This window comes from Homo sapiens, chromosome 3, assembly GCF_000001405.40.
Source record: "Homo sapiens chromosome 3, GRCh38.p14 Primary Assembly".
In the NCBI taxonomy this organism is placed as follows: domain Eukaryota; kingdom Metazoa; phylum Chordata; class Mammalia; order Primates; family Hominidae; genus Homo; species Homo sapiens.
In genome coordinates this window covers 50,494,183-50,515,260 of record NC_000003.12, presented here as the reverse complement: position 1 = coordinate 50,515,260, position 21,078 = coordinate 50,494,183, and the positions used below count along the sequence as shown (strand labels likewise).

Below are 21,078 nucleotides of genomic sequence, written 5' to 3'. Positions count from 1 at the left end.
GACCACCCTCCATCACAACAACTCTACTTCAATCTGGCATATATTAGGGATCTGCATCCAATTTAGTTTAAAAATAATTCCTTGTTGCTTTAAAATCAGTTTGAAATGCAGTGTCCTGGAATGGGTAGACCCAGCTTCCATGGATCCCCTCCCTGCCTGGAAGCTGCCCCTGTCTGATCAATTTACCAGACCCTCTCGGGGCCTTTCTAACAGAAGGTAAGATTCCATACTGAGCTCAGCCACCCACCTCTGGGCCCTTTCTGTTTGTCTGTCTTGGAGTCTCTCTCTCTGAGACTCTGCTTCCACCATTGCTCACCGCAGGCCACGCCACTTTCCCTGTGCACCTCAGAAACAGGCAGGGAGGCCTCCACGTGCTGCCCTCCTTGCTGACCTATCACTGAAATGGACCCTGAGCCTGGCCCTAACCTTGGCTTGGGGCTCTGTTCCTAGCTGGCTGAGTGGGGGTGTTTGGCATGTGCCAGACACCGGGGAGTGTGTGTGTGTAGGGGTGGTGGTGGCATTCCTGCCCTGCCTCCCTCTGCAGGTCTGGAGGACACCACGAGTACAGCCTTTCCATAAATGCTTTATGATTCAGCAATGGGTGAAGCCCCCAGTGGCCTCCCAGCAGCTCTGAGAGGAAGATGAGGAGTGGAGTTTACTGAACCCATTTTACCTTCAAGAAGACTGAGATGCAGTGACGTTAGCTAACAAGCTCAAGGTTACCTGGGCCCGGTGGATGTCTGCTGCCTCTCTAGCCGTGAATCAGGCCAAGGTGCTGGATGACTGTCCTTTCCACCCTGTGCTCATGGGACATTTCTCCCATGATTTGTGGCCGCAGCTTGGATCTAGCCTGGTCACCCGCCTCCCAGCCTCCTGTCCTGCCTGCTCTGATGGAAAGGGCTCTTTCATCATGGAGAAGCCTCATTCCTCGAAACAGAGCAGACCTTCAATGCTTCACTGGCTTTCCCTGGAGCAGATCCTACCTCAACACCTTTTACTAGTTCTCCAATGTTCCCTTCATCTGGAATGTCCTTCTCTACTCCACCTCCAGAAAGCCTTCCCATATTCTGGCAGCAGAAAGCAGCCCCTGTCCTCATGCACACCAAAGTGCAGATGTTCAACTCTAAGCCTCAAGGAGTCCAATAAGGGGCAGGGGAGGCAGGAAGGGGGCTGGGCATAGGACCCTTGCCTCATTCATGGGGTCTGAGGCTGCTCACCTCACTGGCCGTGTGTCAACAAATCTTCAACTCTCTCCTGCAAAGCCCTCCCCAGAGATACCTTGGTGGGGAGGCAGAGTAGAGAGGCTCAGCTAAAGTGAGAGAGAGGCCGCCGAATTGTTGGATCATTGGTGAAACCCAAAGGCTGCACTGTCACCCTGGGAGCTTTTCTAATAATTTGCATTCCATGTGCATAGTTTTGCATATTGAGATAAAATGGGCTTACTTAAAAAAAAGATTACAATATGCTCCTCATGAATCAACCCAGGAGGAGCTGGATCGGGAGTTGGAGCCCATCTTTGCTGCTTCCCAGCCAGCCTTAAGCAAGCCACTCAGAACTACTGGAGCATCAGTTTCTTCATCTGCCCAATGGGGCAATGGGGCTAATGCTACCTACCTGGAAAGCTGTTTTGAGAATTAGACATCCTTCTGGCCCAGTGCCTGGTAGGAAGTGGGGATGAAGGGGTTGAAGAGGAGGCAGTGGTGATGGGGGTTATTATTCTGGAGGAAACATCAGGAATTCTTACTTGAAAATCACAAGCCCCAGTGACCTGGGGCAAGCCCTTTTCATCTGTACAGTGAACATATAGTCCCCAGGGGAGGTTAGGAACAGGGGCACTCCAGCCTGGGGTCTAGCCCCTCGGGGCCTACTTATGGGTACCGCAGCAAGACTCAGTGAGGTCACAGTGTGGTCCCTGTGGTCCCAAGCCTGTGCCAAGAACAGGCTTAGGGGCTTGAGGGGTGAGCAGAGCCTGGGGTAAGAAGACCCTAGAGCTGTCCAGCTTTCTATGCGACAGCCAGACCAGCCTGAATGGGCAGCAGCTACCCTGGCACGTCCAGGAGAACAGCAGTAGTGCGTGTGCGTTTGTTGGGAGAGGGGACCACTGAGTGCCTGGGGCTTACAGGGAGCTCTGAATCTAATCAGAGAGATGTGGCTGGCAGGGAACAGCAGGGCAGCCTGGGAGGAGGTTACATGGAGTTCTGAAGGCAGGGTTCAACTTTTTTTTGTTTGTTTGTTTGAGACAGAGTTTCACTCTTGTTGCCCAGGCTGGAGTGCAATGGCGCAATCTCGGCTCACCACAACCTCTGCCTCCCGGGTTCAAGCGATTCTCCTGCCTCAGCCTCTTGAGTAGCTGGGATTACAGACATGCACTACCAAGCCCGGCTAATTTTGTATTTTTAGTAGAGACGGGGTTTCTCTGTGTTGGTCAGGCTGGTCTCAAACTCCCGACCTCAGGTGATCCGCCCGCCTCAGCCTCCCAAAGTGCTGGGATTATAGGTGTGAGCCACTGTGCCCAGCCAGCGTTCATCTTATTCCCAGGGATCTGACCTGCAGGACTGGCAGGGGTCACACATGCCAGGCCTGACCCCAGGCCTCAGCGTGATGGAGGTGACATATGATTACATAGTCATTTATTCATTCATCAACACTTGATAATGCCCTACACTCTGAGGGGTGAGCATGCCTGGCATACCCGTTGCCCTGGTGTTTGGGTTCTACCTTCCACTCTTGCCCCACGCCTGACTCACTGCCAGTCTTTCCTGTCCATGGCCTGCTCCCAGCCACCCCACAGCAGCCAGCTTAGATTTTCAGGTAAGACCTTGGTGGCTTGTTGCAAACTGCTGAGTCCACATGGCGATCCTCCCTGAGGTCTCTCTCAGTGAGCCTTCCCCCCGCCTCTGCCTCCCTGAAGCTCCTCCTCACTCATTTGGAAATTAAGACCTCAGCAAGATGGTGCTTTGGAGCTGCCAAGCAGGGCTCAGCAAGGCCATGGCAGGGGGAGGGGAGGGGCTTCCAGCTGGTGGGAACATAAGTAGGTAGGAGCCTCCTCACTCTCTTCTGGACTCTCACTAGCCTGTGCAGGTACAGCCTCCCAAGCACCCCTTCTGGGGCCTGGAGCCCAGCAAAACTCTCTGGGAGGAGAGAGGGTTTAGTTCTGCCTTGGGGGCTCCCAGATCTCTAGGGTCTGTCTAGGCCACCGAGGAGCCCTCTGCTCTCTGCATTTGTCCTGGCACCTGCCTTGCTCTGCCGACCTCAGTATAAGCTCCTTATCAGCAAGTGGAAAACAGACACCCAAGATGGGAACATGGGCCAGCTCTAACCATCAGACAAGGCCATGGATGGCCCCAAGCAAGGACCCAGGGGGACCTGGGACCTGGTCTCTACTGCTTACTGGGTAACTTTGGGCCTACCCCAAACCTCTGAGGCTCAGTTTGCCCAACTATGGAATGCAGTAAGGGGTCCACAGAGATCCTGCTTTCCTTTGAAAGGGATTCTGTGGCTCAGTCATCTCCAGAGTGGCCAGGATGTTTCCTATCTGCCCATACTCAGGGCCCAGGTGGAACGGGACCCAGAATCCCGACAAGCCATAGTCATTTCTGGACTTGTACCCTGGATAGCCTCCCTTTCCCCACCCCACACCTTTGGGGGCAATGATGCCCCTCCCTCAGCTAGCCCACCTGGGGGCAATGGTCCCAGGCCAGCCCCTGTCCTGTCTATCCCCCGCAACTCCCATCCCTGTCCCCATTTCCTGCCATACGACATGGCCTGCATCCTCCCTCCTGAGCAGATGCTCCTTATATTTGCTTAACTAGGTACTACTTCATGCTAGCAGAAGAGAGACAGGAGTGTTTCCACCAAGCTTGGGGAGGGACAGCCCTGCTCACTTTGCCCTTTGTGTGGCCTGAAGAGCGAGAACTCCCAGCCCTGCCTGGGCCCAACTCTTGACTGTGCCTCCGAGGCAGCAGAGTAGCCTCCAATCCAGAATGACCTTCTGCAGCAGGGGCTTACCCATTCCCCCTTGGGTCAGCAGCATTGAAGGTTTCATGGAGGCCTGGGCTGGAAAATGCCCTCCTCCATTTGGAGTATGTTCAAGGCTGGCAGCCTGGCTTCTGGGGCAATAGATCCAGACTGAGAGGGGCTCTTCCAGCATCTACATCCTTAGGTTACTCCAACCAGCTGGTGAGGAGCCCCATGCCTCCTTGCTCTCTGCTCCCCCACCCTAGCTCACCTCAGGCCTGGAAACAGGCAGAGGTCTCAAAGGCCCCAGCTTTAGGGAGAGCAATGAAGACTGCAGATGGGGCCATGATGCTGGGGTGGAGAGATCTACACCTGTGCTAATAGGAAAGCTGGATTGGTTATAAGGTTGAGAGCATCCCTTCCCCTCCCTGCCCGGTGTCCAAGAAACTCAGGTGGAGGGGCCTGAGTGCCAGCACCACCCCAAGGAGGCAGGCGCCTCACCAAATGCAGCAGGGCTGCCTCTCAAGCCCTCCAGACTCCCATGACATGATGCTCCTCCTGGCCCTGCCTCCACCCCATACAGTGCCATCCTCCCCTGTAGGTTCCAAGAACCACCTAGCTTCATCCATCTTCCAGGTTCAACAAATGGAGTGCTAACTGCCCCTCACAGGAACAGCAGCCATCAGTTAAATTAAGTGACGGTAGAGCCAGGTCCTGCCCTCCCCACAGCTGCCTAGCAGAGGCTAATTCCCTAAGGAGTTGATGAGCAGAAGCCAAGAGGTGCTTTTTGCAGAAGCAGAAGACTTGAGGACTCTCCTCAGGGTGCTTCCCCGACCTGTGTGCTGAAGAAAATACTTCCTTGGGTCTACAGCCTTGATCTCTCCTGCCATTTCACATCCATCTACACTTAGGGCAGTCACTCAAGTGCCTTCTGTTGTTACCAACAGGAAGGTGGATGGCATGAGGTATGGCCCTGCCCTCAGAGAGCCTCCTCTGAGGAAGCAGACCCCTCACTCCTAACACAGTGGGCAGAGCTGGCTTATTCATGAGATGCATCCCAGGCCCTCTCGTTTCATTCAGCAAGTCGCCAAAATCCTCTGTGTCTCAGTTTTCTCAGTTGCAAAATGAGCAAGTAAGTTAGGGACAGTTGTCTTCAGAATTACTGACAACCGGATCCCAACCATGGGCAGGGAAGGGAACTGCCCAGGAAGCTCTCCCCCAACCCCCTTGGTGGGGGAGGCTGGGCCCACTTCTCACCCTTCTCTGACTGGCCTGGAAGGGCAGCTATCAGAGGAGACAATTTGCCATGGCCATTCCGCCGAGGTGTTGATGGGATGTTGGGCAGAGATGGAAGGCTGCCTCATCACAGCCCGGCTTAGCCTACCACCGACACTCTTCACTTCCACCTAGAGGCAGAAAAACACATCTTGTGGAGAGTTAGAGCTGCTGTCAGTGCTGGCCAGGGGCTCTGAGGAGACTTTTATTTATTCGGAAACCATTCAGACACCTAATGCTCTTCTGAAGGGAGAATTTCTCTCTTTTATTTGTCCTCATTTTCTGCTGCCAGAGTGGGATGAAGGCCTTAGGGGAGGGGCAAACCAGCTCTGGGCCCTTGCACTACACACATCAAGGCACGTGGGACATGGGTGGCACCAAGGGGCCTCCTACTCCCCTGGGCAGATGTTTGGGCCAGGGTCCTCTCAAAGAGGGTTCTGAGGGTTCTGAGGACCCCAGTGGCTGGGAGCAGGTACAGAGGACGGAACTTAGACCTTAGCCTGGAGCCTTTGTCTCTTTGCTTACTGGAAGCTTGAGACCAGCCCTGCCCCTCCATGGGCCTCAGTTTCTTCATCTATAAAATGAGCAGGTTGATCCCGACCTCTCTGAAGAAAACTCCAGACTGTCTGGAGCAGCTGCCAGTGGCAATGGGGACAGCTGAGGCAGGGGCTCCTGGTGGGAGCAGACCCTCTAGCTGAGCAGTTGCGCCCATCTCCATCCTATTGAAGCTGGGAGGACCTGAGTTTTGTGAGGGTAGCTGAGGCAGTGAAGGTGAGGCCGAGCTTCCCTGTGCTCACACAACCAATGATCAACTTGTTTCTCCTCCTTCTCTAAGGACAAAGCCACCCAGGGTCCTGGAGTCCCGGATGCAGGGGTGAGCAGGCTGTCCTGTCCTGTCACTGCCCAGCTGAGCCTTGCCCCATGCTGCCTGTGAGGCTACACCACCTCTCTCCCTGCCTCTGCCAGGAGCTCACTTACTCAGGCATGCACCCCCCAGGGGAGCTGTGCCTGCCCCCAGGGAAGAGGGCCAGCTCACTTCTGTCTCAGGCCTTTGCTCAGACCCTCTGCCAGGGACACTCTTTTTTCCCACCTCCAGCCATTCATTTGTCCAAGCCCTTCATACCCTTCTGTGCCAGCTTCAAGGTCCCCTTGTCCAGGAAGCCTTCCCTGATCACCTGGGCCTCCTCAGAACACTGAGGGACCACTTGCTTTTTTTCACCGACATGATGTAATTATGTGTGGTTTGAGGTACTCACCATGTTTTTCCTGTGTATCACATTCCCCCACCAAGTGGGGAGCTCCCAGGGGCCAAGGATCAAGCCTCTTATACTTGCCAGAACCTGCTCAATTAACCAGCATCCTCCCTTGCTCAGTCAAATAATCTCAGTTCAGAGACTCTTGGGATGATGGAGGTCTAACCAGGGGGCTTCCACTGCCGTACAGGGAGGCATGATTTTTCCATGGCCCAATGCTGGTTTATGGGCTTCCCTTCAGAGGCCAGGATGGGGACATCAAGACCCATGGTTTGGGGTCTCTGAGACTGGTCTCATCCTTGGTCATAGGGAGACAGATCTGGGATGCTGACCCAGGTGTCCAGACTCAAAGCTCCACACTCTGATCTGCACTAACCACTGGGCAGGCAGCCTCAGGCAAGTCTCCTCCCTTTTCTGGGCCTCAGTTTCCCCTCTTTCTAATGAGGAGGTCCTATAGGTTCTGACTGTTTATGACCTGGGACTTGGCCCTAACTTTAATGTGCAGGTAGTGACAGCTTGCAATGTCTGAAAGGGTTAAACTCCAGCCCCCTCCATATATTATGGTAAATGGTACTAAACTGACCATCGGTTGATATTGCGCCAAGGATCCTTGAAAAATTATTGACGTGTCCAGAGGTAGGGTCCTGTCTGATTGCATCTGGAGGCCACTGAGCATCTGTACCATGCTCAGACAGGGGCATTTTGGGGAACATTGCATCCCTGGGTATCCCCAAGGAACTGATGAGCGAGCCATGGCAGCCACTGGCAGGTGCAAGTGCTGGTAGTCCCCCATACGTGGAATGAATCCCAGCTGGGGGCCCTTGGGGACCAACAAGTCCAGCACAAAGCAGGCAGAGAATAGGTACCTTAGAGTGGGCTGGATGAGGCAGGGACAGCAGAACACTGGCCAAGGCTGGGGCCAGCTCAACGGACCCAGGTGGAGGCAGAGCTGGGTAAACAGGGCTCAGAAGGGAAAATGTTGGCTCAAGTCATGCTCACCCAAAAGAATGTCCCCTCCTCCTCTCCCTAATGTGCCCATCCCAACCTATTCAACTTGCAAGACTGAGCTGAAATCCCTCCCCCTTTTCCAGGAATATTTCCCTGTCTGCCTGCATACACGGCCTGCCCTTCTTGGGGATGGCTGAGTCTGTTGTCTCCCCTTCGCTAAGCCCTTGCTGAAGTACCAAGTCTTCCCTCAGGGTGTTAGATGCTTTGGGTCTTCAGACCATCCCTGCCACATGGGGGTGTCTCCCACTATATGGATGAAGAAATGGGCTTGCAGAGGCAAAATCACTTGCTTACACAACCTGTGATGTCTGATGTCAAAGCTGACACACCTCATGCCCAGGCCAGACCACCCTTCCTGGGCACATCCCTGGGCTCCCTTGACATGCCATCAAATGATTCTTTGTTTTTGTTTGTTTGTTTTGAGACAAAGTCTTGCTCTGTCACCCAGGCTGGAGTGCAATGGTGCGATCTCGGCTCATGGTAACCTCCATCTCCCAAGTTCAAGCGATTCTCATGCCTCAGCCTCCTGAGCAGCTGGGACTACAGGCGCCGGCCACCACAGCTGGCTAATTTTTTTTTTTTTTTTTTGTATTTTTGGTAGAGATGGAGTTTCGTTATGTTGGCCAGGCTGCTCTTGAACTCCTGACCTCAGGTGATCCACCCACCTCGGCTTCCCATAATGCTAGGGATTACAGGCATGAGCCACCATGCCTGGCCCCAAATGACTCTATATGTTAATACTTCCTGTGCCCTCCCATGGCTAAGCACTGCATGAGGCTTGGAAGGGGTGACAAGGACTAGGGAGCCTCAGGGCTCCGCTCGACAAGAGTCCAGAATGGGCTGGGCGTGGTGGCTCATGCCTGTAATCCCAGCACTTTGGGAGGCCAAGGCGGGCGGATCATGAAGTCAGGAGTTCAAGACCATCTTGGCCAAGATGGCGAAACCCCGTCTCTACTGAAAATACAAAAATTAGCTGGGTGCGGTGGCACGTGCCTGTAATCCCAGTTACTGAGGAGGCTGAGGCAGGAGAATCACTTGAACCAGGGAGTTGGAGGTTGCAGTGAGCCGAGATCATGCCATTGCACTTCAGCCTGGCGACAGAGTGAGACACTGTCTCAAAAAAAAGAGGCCAGAGTGCAGGTGTGTTTCTGAACCCAAGGCAGAGGCCACAGCATACTACTGGCCGGGGCAGGAAGCAGGAGGGACAGGACCAAGAGGAGGAGGCCCATCCAGTTGGGGGTGGTAGTACCCCAGGAAGGCTTCCTGGTATAAGTGGTATTAATGGGCTCATAAATATCTTGAGTTCAAATGGTAGAGGTAAAAGAGGGTGTTCCAGGCAGGAGGAACTGCAGGAGTAAAGCCCGAGGCAGGAGTTTTCTCTGAATAAGGAGCTGTCCAGCCTGTTGGTAAAAGGTGAGACTGGGCGCGGGGCAGGCTAGGGTGAAAATCTTGCCACCACAGGCGTCCTGGATGTTCCTGATGGGCTTCCTCTGAAAGGGCCACAAGCTGTGGAGTCAAGGTTGACACCAGCCCCAGTATTCTCCCCACAGCAGGGAAGAGCCAGGGGCCTCCAGGACAGAAAGGACTAGGGTGTGCAGAGATGACCTTCCTGGCTCTGGAAGAATCTAAATAGAGGCTGTGCAAACCCCGGGAGCTGGGGCTTGGGACGGGCCTCGAGTGGCACAACTGAGCCCATGGCCTGCTTGGCACATAGTAGTTTCTCCCTATGGCTCTATCAGTCTCTTCTGACCTGCTGAGCTGACCTCCCATGCAGAACTGGCACCTACCAGGCCCCCTGTCAGGGTAGCTTCACCTGCCCCTGCCACCCTACGTCTTCCAGCACAGGCAACTTGGGCCAGGTGGGCAGCCCCACATTTACCAATGTGCCTGCCATGGAAGTCCCCCTATTCCTTGGGAAGGCTCAAATTTTTCTCCCAAGATCTTAACGTGTGGCTGTAGCCAGCCACCAAGAGGGCTGAGGATGTTGTAAGCCTCAAAAGTTATAATTCGTAAACACTTACCACTTGTTTACTCTTAATTACCCCCCCCCTCCTTATTTGTCTTCCTTTAACGGCCTGTCAACCAAAATCTCCCGCCTTTCCCTTGGTGCCAGCAGCCTCAATTAGATGCACATCTGTGGAGGCTAGAACTGAAATACCCAACTGCCAAAACCCACCCACTGTACCTAGACTGACTTCATGTGCCTGACGGCCTGGGCACTTTGGGGATAGCGTTGCTACCCTGGTGTTGGAGGGCAGGGAGGCTGGCCCTCACATTTCTCAGGCCACTGCAGAGTCTGCCTTGGGAAGGCGCCCACCCCCGACAGGGCACCCAAGAGGAATGATGTCCTTTATGATGGTCCCCTGGGGCCATGGGCACAGGTATTATATGTCCAGCAAACAGGTAAGAGAGGATATCACAGGCCAGCCCTACCTTGGGCATGAGGAAGACAGAGATGCTGGGAACAGGTCTCAGCAGGCAGGGCTGGGAAGGCAGCTGTTGAGCTCACGCTTGTCGACTCCTGAGCAGGACCCCTGCCCCCCTGCCCTCCCATTGTGTCCAGAGGTGGCAGGGGGGCAACTGGCTCAGTGAGGACCCTGCTTGTCCCCCCAAAGAGCTGGACTATCGTCTCCCATAGTCCATCAGGTCCCACCTGTCCACCAGGCCCCTGGCCCCTGCGTTGCCTTCCTCTGATACTTTTTTTGGGGTCTCATGGTTTGGGATCTGCTGGCAAACCTGTCTGGCCCCTGAAGGCTCATTCAGGTCAAGGGAGGAGGACACTTCAAGAAATGAAGGAAACTGTTCCCTGTCAAGCCCTGGTTTGCTGGGATTGGAGAAGCCAAGGCAGGACTAGGCAGCAAGGGAAGGCTGTCCTAGGCCCTATTTCCAGCCCCTACCCCTACCCTTTTCAGTCCAGGGGCTACTATTCCCTTTCAACTGCAAGCCCTCCTTGGGCTGACTTGTGAGTGGGTGATAGGAGAGCCACTGATACCATGAGGTGGGGCATCTGGACATTTCCGAACCATCCTGCCCAGCTGGTTACTATCCCTCATTCCTCGTGATAGGCCAGGTCTGTGGGCAGTTATTGCTGAGGGGGTCCTGCCCTGTGTCAAGTTGGTGGGGAGCATTCTCTCATCCTATCTGCACCAGAGGCAGAGCTGGGTTCCAGGGTAACTTCAGTAGAATCCTAGGGATGGTCTCCCCTCATTGTGAATGCTTCAGTTTACCAAGAGATTCTCCCCATTCTCACTTCATCCTGGAAATGGGAGTGGGCACCCACACAAGCATTCACAAGCGAGGACACTGAGGCTCTGAAAGGGCCACAAGCTGTGGAGTCAAGGTTGACACCAGCCCCAGTCTTCTGCCCACAGCAGGGAAGAGCCAGGGGCCTCCAGGACAGAAAGGACTGGGTTGTGCAGAGATGAGCTTCCTGGCTCTGGAAGAATCTAAACAGAGGCTGTGCAAACTCCGGGAACTGGGGCTTGGGACAGGCCTGCACACAGTGCCTGTTCAGCCCAGGGAAGCGAAGCGAGTGGCTGCAGAGGGCTGCATCCTGCCGTCCCCAGCCCCCCACAACCGTACAGCCGTGCCCAGGTTTCCGCTTAGGGAACCAGGAGGTCCAGGCCCTTTCTGCCAGCAGCCGGGCGTGCAAGCCCCCGACAGAGAGAAATCTTAAAGATAGCTAGAGCCACGGGGGCTGTAAGTTCAGCATGCCTCCTTTTCTGGTCTCCGCTGAAGCTGTCACTCCACCATTAAACCTGTGACTCTAGGCCTTAAGCCTGTTGAAGGTCGAGCCCCCAAAAGGGTCACATATGCTCCTGCCTTGGGCCGCGGGGCCCGGGACTCTTCCCGCGGGTGGGGTGGGGAGGAGCGGCAGGGTCTGAGGTGTGGGGGCGGGGGCGCACCCGGGGCGCTCGGGTAGCAGCTGGGGCGCAGGACGCCCGAGCCAGTAGGGCAGGATTCGGGCTGCGCGGGGACGAGAGGCGCGCGGGCACGGGTGGGCGCGTGGCCGCGGCGGGGGCGCGCGGGGGCGGGCCAGCCCGGGAAGAGAGAGGGAGGGAGGGAGAGAAGAGGGCGGTGCCGGCAGGTTGGCGGCGGCTGCTATTTGAGCGCAGGTCCCGGGCCGGGCGCTCAGAGCGCTTGGAGCCAGCGCTGCAGGGAGATAGCAGCGCGCAGCCCGCAGAGGCGCTGCGGCCCGTGCAGCCCCGGAGGCCCCTCGCGGAGAAGGCGGCGGCGGAGGAGAGGCCGAGTTACCGCCCGCCGCCCGCGCCCCCCCAACCCCGCCGCCGCCGCCGCCGCCGCCACTGCCCCCCCTCCCCGCGGCGCCGCATCTTGAATGGAAACATGGCGGTGCCGGCTCGGACCTGCGGCGCCTCTCGGCCCGGCCCAGCGCGGACTGCGCGCCCCTGGCCCGGCTGCGGCCCCCACCCTGGCCCCGGCACCCGGCGCCCGACGTCCGGGCCCCCGCGCCCGCTGTGGCTGCTGCTGCCGCTTCTACCGCTGCTCGCCGCCCCCGGCGCCTCTGCCTACAGCTTCCCCCAGCAGCACACGTAAGTGGCCTCGGCCGGCCGCGAGACCCCGGCCGAGCCTTGCGCCCCGCTCTGCCCCCGGTCCGCGCTACTCCTTCCCTGCGCTCCGCGCCAGGGCAGAGGCGCTGGGTCCGGCTGCCCGCTGCGCCCGGGGGCGACGGCCCCAAGCCCCGAAGGCTGGCAGCCGCGGTCCCGGCGCTCTGGCTGCGTCGCGAAACTTCCCCGCGGTGCCCCTGCTTCCCCCAAATCCCCCGAATGAGGCAAGGCAAGATCTTCAAGCCCCGGGAGGAGTTGGGGGGGGGCGGTCCGAGCTTGTCAGCTGATTCCCCTGCCGCTGACCCGGTGAGAGGGAAACCCGGGTTGGGTGAGAGGGGCGGCCAGCGACCCCTGTCCGGCGGAGTTGGAGCCGCGCATCTGCCCCACGTTCCCTCCCTGGTGGGAATCCGGCGCTTTACAGCCAGAGGTGAGGGACATCTCCACACCTGCCTTCAAGGGCCTTTTCCTTTAGTGGGGAGCTGTATGCTGATGATGCGAGCACCTTCTTGCTGTGGCCAGTGCCACAGAGGCAGTGTCCCCTGTTCTTGGCCCCCCTCCACCTGAGGAGAGAGTACCCTGGAGAGCCCAGTTGGGAGGTGAAGGCGTTGGGGTCCGGGCAGAAGGTGAATGGTGGGAAGGACCCCTGCCTGCGCCTGCTGCTGCTGCCAACAGAGTAATAGCTTCTCCTGGCTCTGCCAGCCTCCGCAGGTTTTTTGGTCCTTCTGAGCCTTCTCCTCCTCCCCAAGAGCCAGCAAACTCGGGCTGCCTCCTACGGGTGAGCTTAGCCAGATGTGTCTGGGGCTGGGAGTGGATGTTCAGTGCATGTGGCCTTTAGGACGTATCAGTTTCCTGACACTGTGCTTCAGCCCTATGTCAGTGCCCAGACCCCCTTTGGGGCACGGTGACCACCTTGCTTCTGTTATCTGTCTCCGGGTCTGAGGAGCCACCTGTCCCTGGACTCCTTCACCAGTGTCCTGGCCTGGAGACTGGGGCATGAGTCGTCGGGCTGCTGGTGGCCAAGGGGAAGGGTCTGGCCTCGGGGAAAGGGAGAGGCTGGCTCTGCGTCATTTAAACCAGCTCTGCCCAAGGGTAAGAGCCCCTGGTTCTGCCACAAAACCTGCCGACTCCAGTTCGTAGGCTCTCTAAGATGAGGGAAAAACAAACTCAGGAAAACCGCCTCTCTGGGTCTCTCTCTCCGTCTTGTCGTCTCTCTCATTGCACAGCCTGGCTGTGCTCAGGCAGGTGATCAGTTGGCAAATTACAAGTGCCGCACGGACGTGTCCTCTGTCAACCGTCTGGATTTTTCACATGTGTGTTTGGGGGTTGCCCAGGGAGAAAAGAATCGAATGGAAGTTCAGGGCTGGTGGATGCGTTATTGTCTTTCATTTGCCGTGATGGAAATGGACTTCAATCATAGTGCTTAAAAAAAGCAAAAGCATTATTTTTTTGTTGTTCTTTCTTCCTCAAAGCCAAGCACGAGCCAAGCCACAATTATTTTTTTCTTAGCCGTTTCATAGCTCCTTGAGTGAAGGTTTAAGTGGATGTCTCTTTCCACCTCTCCCGACCTCACTCCCTTTCCCTGCAACGTGCAGTTGGTCAGATGGCTTCTGGGCCTGCACGAGTCTCCTCTAGAAGGCCGATGTGAGAACCTGACCAGAGTAGGCACCTATCCCTCTGTCCCCAGCCAGAAGATGGCGAGGCGGGTGTGACGGCAGCGACACACTTCCAGCTGGACGCTGTTGTCGATATAGTTGGAGCTAATTTGGGGGTTTGGGACATGTCTTGCAAACTGTAATTAGAGAATGAGGGTGGGGGTGGGGTGGGGGCTGTGCCGCTCTGAGGGTCCAGGGGGAGGTGACTAATGGTACAACAACACAGAGGGTTTGCTGTGACAGCCAGTGCCCTTCAGCTGCCCTGGTCCCGCAGACGAGGATGCACATTGATCCTTGGAGGGAGGAAGGGGCCCACACATGACCATGGCCAGTGGAATTGGTGCTTTTGTTGAACTGGTAAGAAAGGTTTAGGCTGTTGTTCGGGCCAGAAGGTTCTGTGGGGCTGCTCAGGGATGGGTGACCTCCCAGAACCTTCTGCTGGGTCAGTGTGGCCAGGCTGGGATGACACTTTGATACAGGTGGATTTCCAAGGAGGAGAGTGGAACCCAGCTTCATGGCACTGGAGTGACAACCCCTCAGTGGGGAAGGCCCCTGATGAGCAAGTCATTTTCTCATTAGTGTCTGCCAGTGCACAGGGGCCCAGCTTCACAAGCTGCTGGATTTTAAGCAAGTGTGGGTTTGGGGTCTGCTAGCTATGATTTCTGCAATCGCTCTGGCAGCATGGCTCTCTGCCCACCAGGCAAAATGGACCAAGGCTGCTGCTGGATTGAGAAGGGCAGAGGGGTTACTGCTGAAGGGAGGACAGGGCTTCAGGGTTTTTTTTTGGGCGGGGGGTGGGGGGGTTGGGCTGTCTCACCTTACCTGGACCTGGATCAGAGTTTCAAACAAGGAGGAGGCTACATGTTTGCACACATGTATGCACATGTATGTGCACTTGTCCGGCTGGGTGTGGGGGACCTGAGTCCGAGCACACCTTTCACCTGCCTCCTTTTTCCAGTTATGCCCTCCCCAGCATCAGGCCACCACCGCCGGCTGAGGGGCAGCCCTCACTGCTTTGCCTCCCCTTGTGTCTTTCCCTCCCTCTTCCCCTGTCCCCCTTCTTCAGGTCTTTCATCGAGCTGTACCTATCCTTCCCTGCCCGCCTCTTTTGTCCTCTCTGCTGGGCCTCTGTGCCCTGTTCTCCAGTGCCCCCAGGTTTCTCTGTCCCCTCCTCTGTGGAGTCCTGGCTGAGTGCTGGGTGGAGCACCCGGCTGAGCTGGCCCACCTGACTGCACCCTCTTAGCCCAGCTCTGCTCCAGCGATGGTGTTGGCCAGCGTCTCCCTTCCTCTGAGGGTGGGCAGAAGCAGTGAGGGGCCTGAGGGGTTTGGACCACCAGCAGATTAATGACAACCAGAGTACGTGCTCCTCTCCTGAGTGGACACATGGGGAGCAGTGCCTACAACAGGGCATGCGTCAGTGTAGCTACGGTTAATGGTGGGTGACGTGTGTCTGTCTGGGCCTTCCAGCCCCTGTCTCCATCTCCCTGTGGCTCTCCCTGTTGGAGGGAGGCAGCATCACTCATCTGGGTCCCCCATCTTCCCAAAAACCTGCCTCAGCTTTTGCAGGAGGGAGGGATGAGGCTTCCCAGCCGCTGCTGCTGTCACCGAGATGCAGAGCTGCCAGGTGCTCACAGCCCTCCTGGTGTGGAGGACTTTGGGGGGACCCTTGGCTGCTGTTCCCCTGGACTCCATCTTTATCAGGCACCTCCTTTTGGTCAGCTGTGCCAGGTTAACCCCTGAGAAAGGAGGAAACTCATTTTAGGATGAGTCCCCTCGTAGTCTGCAGGTGAATCTCACTCCAGATTCTTTGTCACACTCATGTCCCCATGGAGAGACTGACTCCAGAGTAAAGCTGGCCTCTAAGTGGACTTCTGCAGAAAGTATCCCCTTCTCCTCCTGCCTGTGTGCAGGTGGGCACTGCCAGCTCCTGGCATCTCAGATGTGTATGGGTGGACACTGCCAGCTCCTGGGAGGATGTAGTTTGGGGACATGCTGGGTGTCAGGTGTAGACTTTGCAGGCTCCATTGGGATGACCTTGCCTTAGTTTCCACAATTGAAATGATAGAATCTGCTTAAGAGGCTGGTGGTGAGAATTAACGGGAGAGGATGCCGCCTCTAGTGGGCAGGGAGGGCTCCGTCAGGTGCCATGGCTGCCACTGTTAACATTAGCATTAAGCCCAGATGTTGCAGCCGGGCGGTAGCCAGTCTTACTGCGAGACCCACCAGTCTCCAGGGCTCCCACGGGCTAGGTGGCCGCCTGTCTCTCTACTTTGCTCATGCTGCCCTGCCATGACTGTGCTCTTTTCTCAGGTTTAGATCCCCTCCTTCAAGGTCTCACACCCGAACCTTCCAGAGGCCTTCCCATCCCAGCTCTGGGCTGTGCCACTCTCTCAGGCTGTGCCCACCCACATCAGATTCTACCTCCTTGAGGAAGACATTGGGCCACCTCCCTCCCTCACTCCCTGCAACACAGCTTGACTGTGGTGGGGGACGTCTCCAGGCTAATGGTGATCTCCCTTACTGAGCCCAGGCCAGACCCCTCACCCACATTAGTGCCTTGACCTCAGAGCCCGTGGTCATGTCCATCCTCCAGATGGGGAGACTGACCTCAGAAAAATGAAGGGACCTGCTTAAAGCCCACAACCATGAGAGGCAGGGCAGGGGAAAGGATAGATCTGTCAGACACTTGGCTGCCCAGCCAGAGGGCTGGGGACATCTGGGCAGTGGGCCCAGGAAGTGGAGGGGGGCTTGAAGCCTGAATCTCTGGGAAGAAAATGAAGAGGCCTAGGATATGAGAGCTGGGCCTGGGACTTCCAGCTGTAACTTTGCCCTGTCTGTCTCTCTTTCCTCCTCTGGGTCTCAGGCAACCCTGAGGGGCCTTCCTTGGCATGAAGCTGCCTTGCCAGCCCCAGTGCTTATAGCCCCAGTGCTGACCTCCATCTACCTCCCACGTATACACAGGCCATCATGGAGCACCCCCAGCCCAGAGCTTTCCTTCCCCCAGCTTTGAGTTATGGGCCAGGCCTGCTCTGTGTGGAGGGGTGGAGGAGAGGAGGGGCTTCATCTGGAGATGAGATGCCATTTCCTTCTCCAGATTCCAGTCTGATTCCGGAGAGAAAGGTCATGGAGGTGGGGGTGGGGCTGGGGGTTGTTCATGGAAACCTGAGGCTGGCTCCTTTAGTCCCTTGGCAGTTTTGCCAGGTCTGAGGGGACTTCACAGGGCTAGGATCTTATAGATGCTGGGGGAGCCTCATGCCATCCGGATGGGTGGGACTTGGGGGGTTTGGGAACCAGCGTTCAAGGGCTTGTTGCTAGGGAACTCTCCAAGGGGCAGCTGGAGGTTTGGGAGTCAAGGCAGGTGGGCTGAGCTCTGTCTGGCAGGGCGATGTTGCCTGTAAGATAGGAGTGGTCTTTCTCTCTCTTCCCCCTTCCAGCCACCTACCCCACTCCCGTGCGGAGATTTGCCTCCAGACCTGGTGCCTTGTGTCTTTAAGTGACTGGGCTGTGGGCCTCAGGCCTGGGGAGGACATGCTGGGGAGGACATGAGGGGCTTTCCCATTGCTGGCTACAGCCCTCCAGCCAACTGGGAAGATTCTCTTCATGTCAGGTTTTTTTTTCTTTTCTTCTTCTTCTGGTGCCTACTGTCTAAACAAGAAGCTACAGAATCAATATTCGTATTCCCCAAGGGAAGTGTGTGTGTGGTTTTTGCTTTTTTTTGCTTCCCTTCTTCTCTTGTCCTGTGGAACCTGAAGAGCTTCCAGAGCTGCCTGTGGCTAAGGGCAGAAGGGGGGCCAGTGCAGGTGACCACAGAGATTGAGATGGCCCTGCTGGCTTGCAGGTCCCCACAGGGGTCTCTTGGGGCCTCCCTAAAGGAGTCAAGATTCTGTCATTCAAATCTACATAAGGTCAGGACCTAAGGGGCAGACTCAGCCAAGCCCTGCCCTGCCACTGTGAGACTCAGGCTGTTGGCTTGGTGTCCCCGGTCCTGGTCCCGCTCCTCTCACCTGGGCCCTCACAGTGCTTTTCCTTCTGCATCTGGTCTGGACCTGCTGGGTCCCCAGCCATCACTGTTACCCGTGACTGAGCCTGGTGAGGGGAGAGCCTCACAAACCAGGAGACTGTCTAGCTGGGATTAGGTGGGGAGAATATTCACAAAGGAGTTCTGAAAGCCCCCATCTTAGGTGAGGAGGCCTCTGTCAAGGGCAAGCCCAGCCTAATCTTCTCAGTTGGGTAGCTTGCTTGGTGACCTTGGACAAAACCCCTCCTCCCCCTGGGCCTCAGTTTCCTTTCTTCCAGGATCCTTCCAACTCTGACATTCCAATGCCCTAAGAAGACAGATCTGGGGTCTTCCTGCTCCTCTCCACGCCCTGCTTTAGCTGTGGCCGCTGGGCCTTGTCTCTTCCAGTGTGAGGGTGCCTGGACCTCCCGTCCTCCTTTGGCCATACCTTGGGTGTCTCATGGCTGCTTTTCAGATTGACCCCCTTTGAGTTCTGATCAGCCTAATTGTTTAGCAGAGGGGGAGGGGCATGGGAAGCCTTTCCTGCTGATCAGTATCCATCTTTCCCACCTTGGAAATGATCCTCATTCAACAAAGGGGAAGAGGTGGGTGAAAAGGCTGAGAAGTCACTCCTTCTGCCTGTCTTTTCCCTGCCCCTCTTAGACCCTGGGCCCCTTTCTTCCCCTTTGATGCCTGCCTTCCCTGATGGCTAGTTCTTTCTGAACAAGCCCCCTCTTCGTGTGCACTGAGACTCTGCCACACCTCTCAACAGCTGTGTGACCTTGGGAACTTCCACAGCCTCTCAGGGTCTTGGAGCCTCATCTGTAAAACAGGGCTTCCGTGGCTGTACTGCCACATAGGGTTGGGGTGTGATAGACTGTGAGGGATGGGCCTGGCCCCAGGGAGTCTGTGATAAGGGCATGTGGATCCCGACTGGATCTAGGGGGTATTTGCAGTCTAGCTGGGCCTGCACTCCAAGTGCCAGCCACTATCCCCTCATCCATAGCACCCAGCACCCATCCAGGCCCTACAGGCACTTGGGACCCACTTGTGGTTTGTGAGTCTTTCCTCTTGTGTTTGGCTCTTGCCTTTGCCTGTGTGCACATGTCAGCTTGTATGTGGGCGTGTCTACACCTGTGTGTTCATGTATGTGTGCATGTGTCAGACGTGTTCACATCTAAGCATGCTTGTGCGTATACCCACTTGTGTGCGTGTGTTTGTACTCACACATGGATGCATGTGTGTAGATGTGTGTGCATGGGCATTCTCGTGTGTAGGCAGCAGTAGGTGTGTGCGTGTATGTGCATATGAAGTCAAATGCGGGCATGTGCTTGGGAGCCTATGTAGTGCAAGCACACGTGTGGTTTATCTCTGCAGCCAGAATGGGCTCCTAGTGCCCACCTTCACCACCTGCCTTTGAGGTTAATGCCAGGGCTCGGCTGGGCAAACACTGGCAGTGGGAAATAAAGCATCCTGATTGTTAGGGCCAGTGTTTTGCAAACTTTTATGTTAGAAACAGCCTGAGTTAAAGCTGAGCTGGAAAGTTTGATCTTCTACCAACTGGCGTGATGACAGTCTGCAAAGGAAACAGAGGCTGCGTCCTTGTAATTCAAATTTTTGCAAATTGAATGGTATTTACATTCAGTGGAGGACTTGGGACTCAGAGGAGCTCCGTGAGTCCTTTGTGAAGTGAAGCATCTTTGCAAACAGCCCTTCCCCGCGTGGAAAATCTGGAGGGTGGGCGTGGAGCCTGGGCTCAGGCAGAGTGGGAAGCTCTTGCTGTGTGACCTTGGGCTGGCACTTTTCCCTTTCAGAGTGGGTGCTTCTCATTTGCACACTGAAGGGCAGGAGACTGGCAGCCCTTGAGTATCTGCTGTGGGTTTGGGTCCTCCCCGCAGCAAGACACTGTGGGCACGATTTGGGCTGTAAAAACTTTGGCTTGATGATCCCTTGATGATCTGGAGGGATGATTCCTCCACATGTTCTCCATCTGGAGCATCTCCAGCGAAGACACTTCCTTCAAGGATGGATTTTTGTCTACTGAGTCTTCATAAATAAGGCTGTCCAGTGATGCCCTGTGATGGGCCCTGGCCCCAGTAGCTGTGTGGACCCAGTTCTCGTGGGTTCTGTTGTCTGAGAGTTTTGCTTTCCTGGCATTTTCAGGACGCGCCTGTGTGTTGTCAGTGCTGCGATGGCCCAGGGCCCTTGGGATTTTGGGAAGTGGCTGTGAGGGGCTCAGGAGCCTACAGGCCAGGAGGGGTTCCTGTGGGGGCAGGGAGCCTGGGTGCAACCGTCTCCTTGGGCATTATGGGCTTTGCATGCGTCCCTGACTTGGAAAGGACATGCCACAGCCACAGAAATCCCTGAGGTCCTGATACCACCATCATATAGACACGGAAACTGAGGCCCAAGATGGGGGAAGGGAACCTTCAAGCCCCACATATCTGTGGCTGCACATACTCTGTGGGCAGGGCCCAGCCCTCATCCCTAATGCTCAGTACAGACTGCGGGGAGGGCGACTCCCTATGCAGCCTTCCTCGCACTGATGTACAGCTGTTTCTCTTAAATAAAAATATCCAGCCGGGTGCAGTGGCTGACGCCTGTACTCCCAGCACTTTAGGAGGCCGAGGTGGGAGGATCACTTGAGCCCAGGAGTTGAAGATCAGCCTGGGCAACATGGCAAAACCCCATCTCTACAAAAAAATACAAAAATTAGCCAGGTGTAGTAGTGTACACCTGTGGTCTCAGCTACTCAGGAGGTTGAGGTGGGAGGATGGCTTGAGCCCAGGAAGTTGAGGCTATAGGGAGCTGTGATGGTGCCATTGGACTCCAGCCTGGACACAGAGTGAGAGCCTGTCATTTATAAATAAATAAATAATAAATAAATAAAATCTATGGCATGGGTCGGGGGGCAAGTTGAGGTCTGCTTTGGCAAACTCGAAGGGCAAGATGTCTATGTGGTGTGAGGCCCCAACTCCTTGGGTTTCTGTGGGGCAAACTCTGATGTCCCTGTGCTGTTTCAGAGACATAAAAGCTTTCTGGGTCCCCTTGGGAAGGACAACTTTGTCACCAGGCAGTGTGGGCTTGGAGGGGCTGGCGTATTCCTGAGATGGTAGAGGCCCATGCTCTGCCTCGAGTTTCCAGCCTGACGTGGCATTTCAGTCTTGATCACTTCCTTCCACAGCCCGTGTTCTCCTCCTGCTGGCCCCGCCTAAAACGCTGCATTTGAAGCCTTAAAGGTCAGGTCTGGTGCTGCCACCAGTTCCAGCAAACAAACAACTAAACAACCCACCCCCGCCCTGCCCCCACTTCAGTTATGAGAAAAGAGAAGGAGCTGGCAGAGCAGGCCTCTGTGCTAAGGGCCCTTGCAA

The 21,078-nt window shown here is 56.0% G+C and overlaps 1 protein-coding gene across 6 annotated transcripts in view, besides 4 other annotated features; it reads left to right on the top strand.

Moving 5' to 3' along the window:
• Window positions 2,486-3,431: an enhancer, noted in NCBI's record as "H3K4me1 hESC enhancer chr3:50549261-50550206 (GRCh37/hg19 assembly coordinates)". NCBI's record gives its function as "activates a minimal SCP1, AML or CMV promoter by ChIP-STARR-seq in naive H9 embryonic stem cells {active_cell/tissue: H9 hESC(naive)}" and the evidence as "EXISTENCE:reporter gene assay evidence [ECO:0000049][PMID:30033119]".
• Window positions 10,499-11,007: an enhancer, noted in NCBI's record as "H3K4me1 hESC enhancer chr3:50541685-50542193 (GRCh37/hg19 assembly coordinates)". NCBI's record gives its function as "activates a minimal SCP1, AML or CMV promoter by ChIP-STARR-seq in primed H9 embryonic stem cells {active_cell/tissue: H9 hESC(primed)}" and the evidence as "EXISTENCE:reporter gene assay evidence [ECO:0000049][PMID:30033119]".
• Window positions 11,008-11,516: an enhancer, noted in NCBI's record as "H3K4me1 hESC enhancer chr3:50541176-50541684 (GRCh37/hg19 assembly coordinates)". NCBI's record gives its function as "activates a minimal SCP1, AML or CMV promoter by ChIP-STARR-seq in primed H9 embryonic stem cells {active_cell/tissue: H9 hESC(primed)}" and the evidence as "EXISTENCE:reporter gene assay evidence [ECO:0000049][PMID:30033119]".
• The window catches only part of CACNA2D2 (calcium voltage-gated channel auxiliary subunit alpha2delta 2), a 141,632-nt gene continuing 131,570 nt past the window's right edge, over window positions 11,017-21,078 (top strand). For 5 of the 6 annotated variants that reach the window (NM_006030.4, NM_001005505.3, NM_001410768.1 and 2 more), the window contains exon 1: window positions 11,627-12,043. In NM_006030.4, the coding sequence (NP_006021.2) occupies window positions 11,838-12,043 (206 nt within the window). In that variant the 5' untranslated portion in view covers window positions 11,627-11,837. Of the gene's footprint in view, window positions 11,193-11,626; window positions 12,044-21,078 lie in introns of those variants that run through there. The other variant, NM_001291101.1, reaches the window with a different exon arrangement.
• Window positions 18,534-19,481: an enhancer, noted in NCBI's record as "NANOG-H3K27ac-H3K4me1 hESC enhancer chr3:50533211-50534158 (GRCh37/hg19 assembly coordinates)". NCBI's record gives its function as "activates a minimal SCP1, AML or CMV promoter by ChIP-STARR-seq in naive H9 embryonic stem cells {active_cell/tissue: H9 hESC(naive)}" and the evidence as "EXISTENCE:reporter gene assay evidence [ECO:0000049][PMID:30033119]".